The sequence below is a fragment of the Homo sapiens genome, chromosome 4 (assembly GCF_000001405.40).
Source record: "Homo sapiens chromosome 4, GRCh38.p14 Primary Assembly".
Lineage (NCBI taxonomy): Eukaryota > Metazoa > Chordata > Mammalia > Primates > Hominidae > Homo > Homo sapiens.
The window spans coordinates 78,497,609-78,509,695 of NC_000004.12; the positions used below are offsets into that span (position 1 = coordinate 78,497,609).

At 41.3% G+C, this 12,087-nt stretch overlaps 1 protein-coding gene across 1 annotated transcript in view, besides 1 other annotated feature; it reads left to right on the plus strand.

The window, feature by feature from the left end:
- FRAS1 (Fraser extracellular matrix complex subunit 1) overlaps positions 1–12,087 on the plus strand; it is a 486,947-nt gene that overhangs the window by 440,286 nt on the left and 34,574 nt on the right. Inside the window, exons 61-63 of the mRNA NM_025074.7 lie at positions 2,113–2,313; positions 9,813–10,000; positions 11,123–11,398. Coding sequence (NP_079350.5) covers positions 2,113–2,313; positions 9,813–10,000; positions 11,123–11,398 — 665 coding nt within the window. The remainder of the gene's footprint in view (positions 1–2,112; positions 2,314–9,812; positions 10,001–11,122; positions 11,399–12,087) is intronic.
- Positions 8,727–9,021: a silencer, noted in NCBI's record as "tiled region #1185; K562 Repressive non-DNase unmatched - State 22:ReprW". NCBI's record gives its function as "represses a minimal TATA promoter and a strong SV40 promoter by Sharpr-MPRA in K562 cells {active_cell/tissue: K562}" and the evidence as "EXISTENCE:reporter gene assay evidence [ECO:0000049][PMID:27701403]".

Here is a 12,087-nt window from a genome sequence, read left to right on the forward strand (position 1 = left end):
TACTGGAAGGAATTTCTTGAGGTTGGTGCTATTATTTCTATATTACGAATAAAGAAACTGAACCTCAGCAAAGCTATATAATTTGCACTCTTAGTTATACAGCTGTAAACAGCAAACCTGGATGTGAACTTCATTCTGTCTGATTCTAGAATCTGTACTCTTAAGTATACTCTTAAGTGACTCTTAGGGTTTCTAGGGAAATATCAGTAACTAACTTGGACATTGGATAAAATAAGAAACTCCAGCCTCAAAGTTGAATTAGTCCTTGACCCCAGGAGACTCAAGTTCAGATCCCAAAGTGAACCTCTCCCAGGTACATAGAAAACCCATCATTGAGACTCAGACAAATAAGATTTATACTCTGCTGCAACTAACACAAGAACAGACAACCAAACACCACATGTTCTCACTCATAAGTGGGAGGTGAACAATGAGAACACATGGACACAGGGAGAGGAACATCATACACTGGGGCCTGTTGACAGGGACGGGGGCCTGGGGAAGGATAACATTAGGAGACATACCTAATGTAGGTGATGGGTCGGTGGCACATGTGGCTTGTAACAAACTTGCACGTTCTGCACATGTATCCCAGAACTTAAAGTATAATTTTAAAAAAGGCCGGGTGCAGTGGCTCATGCCTGTAATCCCAGCACTTTGGGAGGCCAAGGCAGGATCACCTAAGGTTGGGAGTTCAAGACCAGCCTGACCAACATGGAGAAACCCTGTCTCTACTAAAAATACAAAATTAGCCAGGCGTGGTGGCATGCGCCTGTAATCCCAGCTACTCAGGAGGCTGAGGTAGGAGAATCGCTCAAACCCAGGAGGTGGAAGTTGCAGTGAGCTGAGATCGTGCCATTGCACTCTAGCTTGGGCAACAAGAACAAAACTCTGTCTCAAAGAAAAAAAAAAAAAAAGATTTATGCTGTGCTGCAGTGACCCTCCTAGATTTCAAAGGGCATTCTTATTAAAAACTATAAAACCTCAAATGAGGCTTATCTTCTACAGTTAGGAAGATTTGACTTTCTGAGAGGGAAAGAAACGGAAATAAATACAGAAAGTAGAAATTTCTGCCATATTCTATGATATACTCAAAATGGTATAAAAGTTATCATTACTCTCAATTTTTCCATCTTTTTATCTCACTCTCTCTACCACCACCCCACCCTTCCCCATGAGATATAATAGAAAAGAAGGCATGATTTGAATTTTTTGGTAAAAATCAATATATTATTTTATTTATTTATTTATTTATTTGAGATGGAGTTTTGCTTTGTCGCCCAGGCTGGAGTGCAGTGGGGCAATTATGGCTCACTGTAGCCTCGACCACCAGGGCTCAAGTGACTCTCCCACCTCAACCTCCTGAGTAGCTGCGACCACAGGCACGTGCCAGCATGCCTGGCTATTTTTTAATTATTTGTAGAGATGAGGTCTCACTATGTTGCCCAGGTTGAATATATTATTAATCATTTCCTGGCAACAGGATTCCATTAGGAAATCTTGTGTTCCTGAGTTACCCTTGTAGCCAGTCACTGAAAGCACCCATACTTACCTATATAGCTTGTAGGAAATTAAGAAAAGCTGAGGATGGGGAGGTGAGAGCACTAAGAGGAGGGGGTCCAAAGGACCAGAGGTGAGGGGTGGACTTGGTAAATTTAAGTAGTATATAAATGAGATAAATTATAAACCTTTGAAATTCATATCTCATGAATGAAAAGTTGATTTATGTGACAGGTATTTATCTAGGGCCTACTATGTCTCAGTCCCTTGATAAACTGTTCAAATTTTAAAACATTCTGTGAACTGTAGTGCCGAGTTGGAAACTTGGACATCATGAATTTCAAAGTCTCTACAAATAATTCCACCCATTATATTGTTTTTAATAAGGAACATGTGAGACACAACTCCTGCAGAATCACAAATAAATAATTTTTTCCAAAGCATTGTTTAGCAGTAAATACTGATTGAGTTTTATGACTGCAAGCCATTTTGCCTTCATACTGTTAACTAATGTGAACAATTTCCTCTTGTCATTATAAGGTGTTTTCCTGGGAGTCTGAATCCTTTGTGCTATTCTAACTGGCTCTTGTTTTCCTAACCATATTTCCTTAGCCCCCACCATTGAGTTTGAAGAAGCTGCATACCAAGTCCGGGAACCCGCAGGCCCAGATGCCATTGCGATTCTGAACATCAAGGTGATCCGCAGAGGGGATCAGAACAGGACCTCCAAGGTTCGCTGCAGCACGCGGGATGGCTCTGCCCAGTCTGGTGTGGATTATTACCCAAAGAGCCGAGTCTTGAAGTTCAGTCCCGGTAATTGAATGCCAACCTCAATCTGTGGGTTTTACTTAATAGAGGGGCAAAAATCTTGTATTTGAAGAAAGGAATAAACAGATAAATGAAAAAGGAAAACAGTAGTTCCAATAGCTAAAGCATTTTTAAGCACACATTTGAGATTGCAGGTGAAATTTCTAATTCGTAAAAATGACATGGGGGAAAAAGAAATAGGTCTCTTACTTTAGACCATGCTGGGCATTTTGGTTCATTTAAAAGAATTTTTTGTTAGCCTAAGATTTGGTTGAATGATAGGATCACTTGTTAAAAAAAAATACACACGTAACTGGCACCATTCAACAAATATTGCTGAAAAGTGCTGTGCTGGGTCAGTCAAGGATTACTACATCTGAAAGGCACAATCCCTGTGTTCAAGTGGTTTAATATCTGCTAGGAAACAGGATACCCAGTTTTGGACTTTCCAAAACACAATTTATATGGAGATGAGTTTGGGAAAAGAGAGAGATGGCGTTCAGGTCATAGATCACAGCTTAAAGGTCTGTGATCTTCCACTATCCCCCTTTCGGAGGACATTTAAGTATTAATCTGATGGGGAGAATGAAACAGGAAAAGGGTTGAACTGTATGCTAGGTTTCTTCACAGAACTTTCTGAAATCTAACTGGTATAGATCCTGACACCATTTGCGACGTAGCCAGAGGAGGGCAACAGTGCTAGGAGAACTTTTTAGAGCTGTCTTGGCAAGTGGAGGGAGAAAATGATGCCCTCAGAAATCATGGGGGTTGAAGGGGGAGGGTCTTTATTTTCTCTCCCCTCACCAGAGCTTTAAAGGGCTTCTGGCTCCATCCCATCTGTGTCTGACTGATGTTTGCTGGAAAGCTAGATGCCCTCCTTCCATATCTCAAGATGGAACTGTCTTTCACTTTTTACTTTTCCGCATAAAGATCTGGGGAAAGGATAGGTCTAGAAGGAACTTAACCCGGATGTCTGTAGACTAAGAAAGGGGCTTTAACTTCAATGAGGTATTTGCACCTTCAGAAACTCACCTTACAAAAAAAGAAGTGGGTCTTTTTTTATATATATACTTTAAGTTCTAGGGTACATGTGCGCAACATGCAGGTTTGTTACATAGGTATGCATGTGCCATGTTGGTTTGCTGCACCCATTAACTCGTCATTTACATTAGGTATTCCTCCCAGTGCTATCCCTCCCCCAGCCCTTCATCCTCCAACAGGCCCCATTGTGTGATGTTCCCTGCCCTGTGTCCAAGTGTTCTCATTGTTCAGTTCCCACCTATGAGTGAGGACGTGCAATGTTTGGTTTTCTGTCCTTGTGATAGTTTGCTGAGAATGATGGTTTCCAGCTTCATCCATGTCCCTGCAAATGACAAGAACTCATCCTTTTTTATGGCTACATAGCATTCCATGGTATATATGTGCCACATTTTCTTAATCCAGTCTATTATTGACGGCCATTTGGGTTGGTTCCAAGTCTTTGCTATTGTTAATAGTGCCGCAGTAAACATATGTGTGCATGTGTCTTTATAGTAGCATGATTTATAATTTTTTGGGCATCTACCCAGTAATGAGATTGCTGGGTCAAATGGTATTTCTGGTTCTAGATCCTTGAGGAATTGCCACACTGTCTTTCACAATGGTTGAACTTTTTACACTCCCACCAACAGCATAAAAGCGGTCCTATTTCTCCACATCCTCTCCAGAATCTGTTGTGTCCTGACTTTTTAATGATCGCCAGTCTAACTGGCATGAGACGGTATCTCATTGTGGTTTCAATTTGCATTTCTCTGATGACCGATGGAATTAATTAGATCCCATTTGTCTATTTTGGCTTTTGTTGCCATTGCTTTTAGTGTTTTAGTCATGAAGTCGTTACCCATGCCTATGTCCTGAATGGTATTGCCTAGGTCTTCTTCTAGGGTTTCTATAGTTTTAGGTCTAACATTTAAGTCTTTAATCCACCTTGAATTAATTTTTGTAAAAAGTGTAAGGAAGGGATCCAGTTTCAGCTTTGTATATATGGCTAGCCAGTTTTCTCAGCACCATTTATTAAGTAGGGAATTATTTCCCCATTGCTTTTGTCAGGTTTGTCAAAGATCAGATGGTTGTAAATGTGTGGTGTTATTTCTGAGGCCTCTGTTCCGTTCCATGGGTCTACATATCTCTTTTGGTACCAGTACCATGCTGTTTTGGTTACTGTAGCCATGTAGTATAGTTTGAAGTCAGGTATTGTGATGCCTCCAGCTTTGTTCTTTTTGCTTAGGACTGTCTTGGCAATGAGGGCTCTTTTTTGGCTCCATATGAAATTTAAAGTAGTTTTTTTCCAATTCTGTGAAGAAAGTCATTGGTAGCTTGATCGGGATGGCATTGTATCTATAAATTACCTTGGGCAGTATGGCCATTTTCACGATATTGATTCTTCCTCTCCGTAAGCGTGGAATGTTCTTCCATTTGTTTGTGTCCTCCTTTATTTCATTAAACAGGGGTTTGTAGTTCTCCTTGAAGAGGTCCTTCATGTCCCTTGTAAGTTGGATTCCTAGGTATTTTATTCTCTTTGTAGCAATTGTGAATGGGAGTTCACTCATGATTTGGTTCTCTGTTTATTATAGTTGTATAGGAATGCTTGTGATTTTTGCACATTGATTTTGTGTCCTGAAACTTTCTGAAGTTGCTTATCAGCTTAGGGAGATTTTGGGCTGAGATGATGGGGTTTTCTAAATATACAATCATGTCATCTGCAAACAGGGGCAATTTGACTTCCTCTTTTCCTAATTGAATACCCTTTATTTCTTTCTCTTGCCTGATTGCCCTGGCCAGAACTTCCAATACTGTGTTGAATAGGAGTGGTGAGAGAGGGCATCCTTGTCCTGTGCCAGTTTTCAAAGGGAATGCTTCCAGCTTTTGCCCATTCAATATGATATTTGCTATGGGTTTGTCATAAATAGCTCTTATTATTTTGAGATACATTCCATCAATACCTAGTTTATTGAGAGTTTTTAGCATGAAGAGCTGTTGAATTTTGTCAAAGGCCTTTTCTGCATCTATTGAGATAATCATGTGGTTTTTGTCACTGGTTCTGTTTATGTGATGGATTACCTTTATTGATTTGCATATGTTGAACCAACCTTGCATCCCAGGGATGAAGCCAACATGATCGTGGTGGATAAGCTTTTTGATGTGCTGCTGGATTCGATTCACCAGTATTTTATTGAGGATTTTCGCATTGATGGTCATCAGGGATATTGGTCTAAAAATCTCTTTTCTTGTTGTGTCTCTGCCAGGCTTTGGCATCAGGATGATTCCGGCTTCATAAAATGAGTTAGGGAGAATTACCTCTTTTTCTATTGTTGAATATTTTCAGAAGGAATGGTACCAGCTCTTCTTTGTACCTCTGATAGAATTTGGCTGTGAATCCGTCTGGTCCTGGACTTTTTTTGGTTGTTAGGCTATTAATTATTGCCTCAATTTCAGAGCCTGTTATTGGTCTGTTCAGAGATTCAACTTCTTCCTGGTTTAGTCTTGGGAGGGTGTATGTGTCCAGGAATTTATTCATTTCTTCTAAGTTTTCTAGTTTATTTGCATAGAGGTGTTTATAGTATTCTCTGATGGTAGTTTGTATTTCTGTGGGATCGGTGGTGAGATCCCCTTTATCATTTTTTATTGCATCTATTTGATTCTCCTCTCATTTCTTCTTTATTAGTTTTGCTAGTGGTCAATCAATTTTGTTGATCTTTTCAAAAAACCAGCTTCTGGATTCCTTTATTTGTTTGAAGGGTTTTTTGTGTCTCTATCTCCTCCAGTTCTATTCTGATCTTAGTTATTTCTTGCCTTTTGATGGCTTGTGAATTTGTTTGCTCTTGCTTCTCTAATCCTTTTAACTGTGATGTTAGGGTGTCAATTTTAGATCTCTCCTGCTTTCTCTTGTGAGCATTTAATGCTATAAATTTCCCTCTACACACTGCTTTAAATGTGTCCCAGAGATTCTGGTACATTGTGTCTTTGTTCTCATTGGTTTCAAAGAACATCTTTATTTCTGCCTTAATTTCATTATGTACCCAGTAGTTATTCAGGAGCAGATTGTTCAGTTTCCATGTAGTTGTGCAGTTTTGGGTGAGTTTAGTTAATCCCGAGTGTTAATTTGATTACACTGTGGTCTGAGAGACAGTTTGTTGTGATTTCTGTTCTTTTCCATTTGCTGAGGAGTACTTTACTTCCAATTATGTGGTCAATTTTAGAATAAATGTGATGTGGTGCTGAGAAGAATGTATATTCTGTTGATTTTGGGTGGAGAGTTCTGTAGCTGTCTATTAGGTCTGCTTGCTGCAGAGCTAAGTTCAAGTCCTGGATATCGTTATCAACCTTCTGTCTCATTGATTTGTCTAATATTGACTGACAGTGGAGTGTTAAAGTCTCCCATTATTATTGTGTGGGAATCTAAATCTCTTTGTAGTCTCTAAGGACTTGCTTTATGAATCTGGATGCTCCTGTATTGGGTGTATATACATTTAGGATAATTAACTCTTCTTGTTGAATTGATCCCTTTACCATTATGTAATGGCCTTCTTTGTCTCGTTTGATCTTTGTTGGTTTAAAATCTGTTTTATCAGAGACTAGGATTGCAACCCCTGCTTTTTTTCTTTTGCTTTCCATTTGCTTGGTGGATCTTCCTCCATCCCTTTATTTTGAGCATACGTGTGTCTCTGCATGTGAGATGGATCTCCTGAATACAGCACAATGATGGGTCTTGACTCTTTATCCAATTTGCCAGTCTATGTCTTTTAATTGGGGTCATTTAGCCCATTTACATTTAAGGTTAATATTGTTATGTGTGAATTTGATCCTGTCATTATGATATTAGCTGGTTATTTTGCCCATTAATTGATGCAGTTTCTTCATAGCATCAATGGTCTTTACAATTTGGCATGTTTTTGCAGTGGATGGTACTGGTTGTTCCTTTCCATATTTAGTGCTTCCTTCAGGAGCTCTTGTAAGGCAGGCCTGGTGGTGACAAAATCTCTCAGCATTTGCTTGTCTCTAAAGGATTTTATTTCTCCTTCACTTATGAAGCTTAGTTTGGCTGGATATGAAATTCTGGTTTGAAAAATTCTTTTCTTTAAGAATGTTGAATATTGTCCCCCACTCTCTTCTGGCTTGTAGGGTTTCTGCCAGGAGATCTGCTGTTAGTATGATGGGCTTCCCTTTGTGGGTAATCCGACCTTTCTCTCTGGCTGCCCTTAACATTTTTTCCTTCATTTCCACCTTGGTGAATCTGACAATTATGTGTTTTGGGGTTGCTCTTCTTGAGGAGTACCTTTGTGATGTTCTCTGTATTTCCTCAATTTGAATGTTGGCCTTGCTTGCCAGGTTGGGGAAGTTCTCCTGGATAATATCCTGAAGAGTGTTTTCCAACTTGGTTCCATTTTCCCCATCATTTTCAGGTACACCAATCAAATGTAGATTTTGTCTTTTCACATAGTCCTATATTTCTTGGAGGATTTATTCATTTCTTTTTATTCTTTTTTTCTCTAAACTTCTCTTCTCGCTTTATTTCATTAATTTGATCTTCAATCACTGATATCCTTTCTTCCACTTGATTGAATTGCCTATTGAAGCTTGTGCATGTATCACGAAGCTCTTGTGCCATGGTTTTCAGCTCAATCAGGTCATTTAAAGTCTTCTCGACACTGTTTATTCTAGTTAGCCATTCGTCTACCCTTTTTTCAAGGTTTTTGGCTTCTTTGTGATGGGTTAGAACGTGCTCCTTTAGCTCGGAGAAGTTTGTTATTACCGACCTTCTGAAGCCTACTTCTGTCAACTCGCCAAAGTCATTCTCCATCCATCTTTGTTCCGTTGCTGGTGAGGAGCTGCGATCCTTTGGAGGAGAAGAGACACTCTGGTTTTTAGAATTTTCAGCTTTTCTGTTCTGGTTTATCCCCATCTTTGTGGTTTTATCTGCCTTTGGTCTTTGTTGTTGGTGACCTACAGATGGGGTTTTGGTGTGAATGTCCTTTTTGTTGATGTTGCTGCTATTCCTTTCTGTTTGTTAGTTTTCCTTCTAATAGTCAGATCCCTCAGCTGCAGGTCTGTTGGAGTTTGCTGGAAGTCCACTCCAGACCCTGTTTGCCTGGGTATCACCAGCAGAGGCTGTAGAACAGCAAATATTGCAGAACGGCAAATATTGCTGCCTGATCCTTCCTCTGGAAGCTTCATCCCAGAGGCATGCACCTATATGTGGTGTCCGTCAGCTGCCACTGGGAGATGTCTCCCAGTTAGGCTACACAGGGGTCAGGGACCCACTTGAGGAGGCAGTCTGTCTGTTCTCTGAGCTCAAATGCCATGCTGGGAGAACAACTGCTCTCTTCAGAGCTGTCAGACAGGGACGTTTAAGTCTGCAGAAGTTTCTGCTGGCTTTTGTTCAGCTATGCCCTGCCCACAGAGGTGGAGTCTATAGAGGCAGTAGGCCTTCCTGAGCTGTGGTGGGCTCCCCCCAGTTCGAGCTTCCCAGCCGCTTTGTTTACCTACTTAAGCCTCAGCAATTGCAGACACCCCTCCCCCAGCCAGGCTACAGCCTCGCGGGTTGATCTCAGGCTGCTGCGCTAGCAGCGAGCAAAGCTCCATGGGTATGGAACCCCCCGAGTCAGGCATGGGAGAGAATCCCCTGGTCTGCTGGTTGCTAAGACTGTGGGAAAAGTGCAGTATTTGGGCAGGCGTGTCCCATTTTTCCAGGTACAGTCTGTCACGGCTTCCCTTGGCTAGGAAAAGGAAATCCCCCGACCCCTTGCACTTCTCGGGTGAGGCGACGCCCCTCCCTGCTTCAGCTTGCCCTCCATGGGCTGCACCAATGTCCAACCAGTCCCAGTGAGATGAACCAGGTACCTCAGTTGGAAATGGAGAAATCACCTGTCTTCTGCGTCAATCATGCTGGGAGCTGCAGACCAGAGCTGTTCCTATTCGGCCATCTTGGAACGGTACCCAAAGTGGGTCTTGAAGGCTTGAACCCTCACCTGTTCCAGGTCACTCACCCTCCATGTTACCATCTTTGTGGAGGCTGGCTTGGTAGATAACCTTGAGCCACTACTTCTCAGGAGACAGCTTTGAAGGATATCTGTATGTGCAAGCCCTCACAGCCAAACAGGAGCTCATGCAAAATGTAAGGGGGAAAGAAAAATTAAGCAAAAAAACTCATAACCAGGGTGAAGTGTATTTTGGATCGTAGATTTTTATTACTGCCAGCCAGTGTCAGGCAGGGGCCATTAATCCTCATATGGTGTTGAACAGTAAATCTGCAATACTGAGCCTCTACCACAGGTGGAATTTGGTCTGTAAAAAAGATTCCTCACTTGAGATGGGGCTAAAGTGATTAGCAGCCACTGCGTTTATAGAACACCACTAAAAAGAAAGAACATATTTTAACATAATGTCTCAGCAGTGCCAAGCTGCACTCTCTTGGGTGTGTTTCCTAATGAAGCCTTTGCTCTCTTTTTGTTCTGTCCTTGGCGAAGGTGTGGATCATATCTTTTTTAAAGTTGAGATCCTGTCCAATGAAGACCGGGAATGGCATGAATCTTTCTCACTAGTCCTTGGCCCAGATGACCCAGTGGAAGCAGTTCTTGGGGATGTGACTACTGCCACGGTGACAATTCTAGACCAGGAGGCAGCAGGGAGCCTCATATTGCCAGCACCACCCATTGTGAGTTGCTTGACCCAAAGGATTGCTGTTTTACGTCTCAGTGACTAGTAGATGAGAACTGAAGGGAAGTACTCTATTTCTTTATTCTTCTAACCCAGTGGTTCCCAACCAGGAGCCATCTTGCCTTCCATCATCCCCTTTCCAGAGGACATTTAAGCAATGTCTGGAGACATTTTTGGTTGTCACAGTTGTCACACCAGGTGCTACTAGTATCTAGTGGGTAAAAGCCAGGGATACTCCTAAACATCCCATAATGCACAGGGAAGCCCCCGACAACAAAAGTAATTATTTGGCACAAATGTCAATAGTGTTGAGGGTAAGAAACCCTGTTCTGACCTAAAAGTGAGACCAAATCCTGTTGGTATCTTAGTCTGATAAAGATAGAAAATACAATACAATTGATCTTCTCATTTCTTTGATGGGACTTAGAAGAGTAAGAAGGTAATACTACCTCATATCTATCATCCCACATATTCACTATATTTATAGAATTAAGTACCTGTGGGAAGGTAGTACCAGATTTCCTAACTTGGGGTGAATAGAATGAATGCACTGTCCTTACAATTAAGAGGAAAACACCTAGAGGTTGCCAAGGAAAATTTAACCCATAATTGTGAAGCAATCAGAAGAAGCCTTCTGACTTCCGCTAACTTGTCTCATATATTAGAAAAGAATGATGATTATTTCAAAATGTGTCTCTTATTTGGCCATGGAAGAAATATACCACCTCTATTTACTCTTATTTTGCCAAATGTTCTACTATATACCATCAACTATTTAATGCAACTTTAAACTAGCAACTGCTATTCATGATACAGCTTTGGTTCCAATGGGCAGGAAAATCAGAGTATTTTTTTACATGAGTGATAGGGCTCTGATTTAGGAATAAAACTAAAAGGATAATAAAGCTTCTAGCCCAACCAGTAGAAGAATCTTCTCCACCACTAAAGATCTGCAGTATCTTTTAAGGATGCCTGGCAAAGAATTATAAAAACTTCTCCTGTTATATTTCAAAGAACCTGTAGACACTAAGAGATCTTGTGGATCTCTAAAGAAAGGGGGCTTAGTTCTCTGACCTTGCCAATACCCAACCTGAACTGAAGCTTTGTTGCTCTTTCGCAGGTGGTCACACTTGCTGACTATGACCATGTGGAAGAAGTTACCAAGGAAGGAGTCAAGAAATCCCCCTCCCCAGGCTACCCACTGGTCTGTGTCACCCCCTGCGACCCTCATTTCCCCAGATACGCTGTCATGAAGGAGCGCTGCAGTGAGGCCGGCATCAACCAGACATCTGTGCAGTTCAGCTGGGAAGTGGCTGCCCCCACTGATGGCAATGGGGCCCGGTCTCCCTTTGAAACCATCACTGACAACACACCATTCACCAGTGTCAACCACATGGTAGGTCTGGGGGTCTGGGCCTGGTTCTCCCTCCCTGGGAGAGAACTGGTGTTGTTCTTTGTTACTCAGATAATCAAATTCCTTATGGTCCATGCATGGCATTTGGAATAAAACAAATAAGCAGGTGCACAGTCTTTTTACTCTTATACATAAGAAAAGGTTATATGCTGTAATAGAAAACTAAGCTAGTTAGAAGACCTGTTTGCAAATTCTGGTTCTGCCTGTTTTAAACTAAATAATGTTAAGAGGTTACTTAATCTCTCTGAGTCTCAGTCTCCTGATCTGCAAAGTAATAATTCTTTTGCTTGGCTACTTGACAAGGTCATTGAAAAATGTGACCTATAAATGACAAAGTCAGTGAAAAACTCCAGATAGGCGCTGTTGATTACTATTAATGTATCTCCAATCGTTCAATAAGTATTAACACATAACTCCTTATGGACATGAACCAAAGTTTCTACCACATTTCTGTAATGCAGTAGAAACATGGCCCAAAATGGCCAGGACATCGATGGCACATAGAGGGGACCAGTTATTAAATAAAAGAATAGAATGGTTGCTGAATGATCAGCACGTTACAAAGCTCTATGGGAGGCCATGAAAAGACATTTGTGCAGCAGTTGCTGTCCTCAAAAAGCTTAGAGACCAACACCCCTGACACCATCAGAGAACAATGAATAGTATGTTTT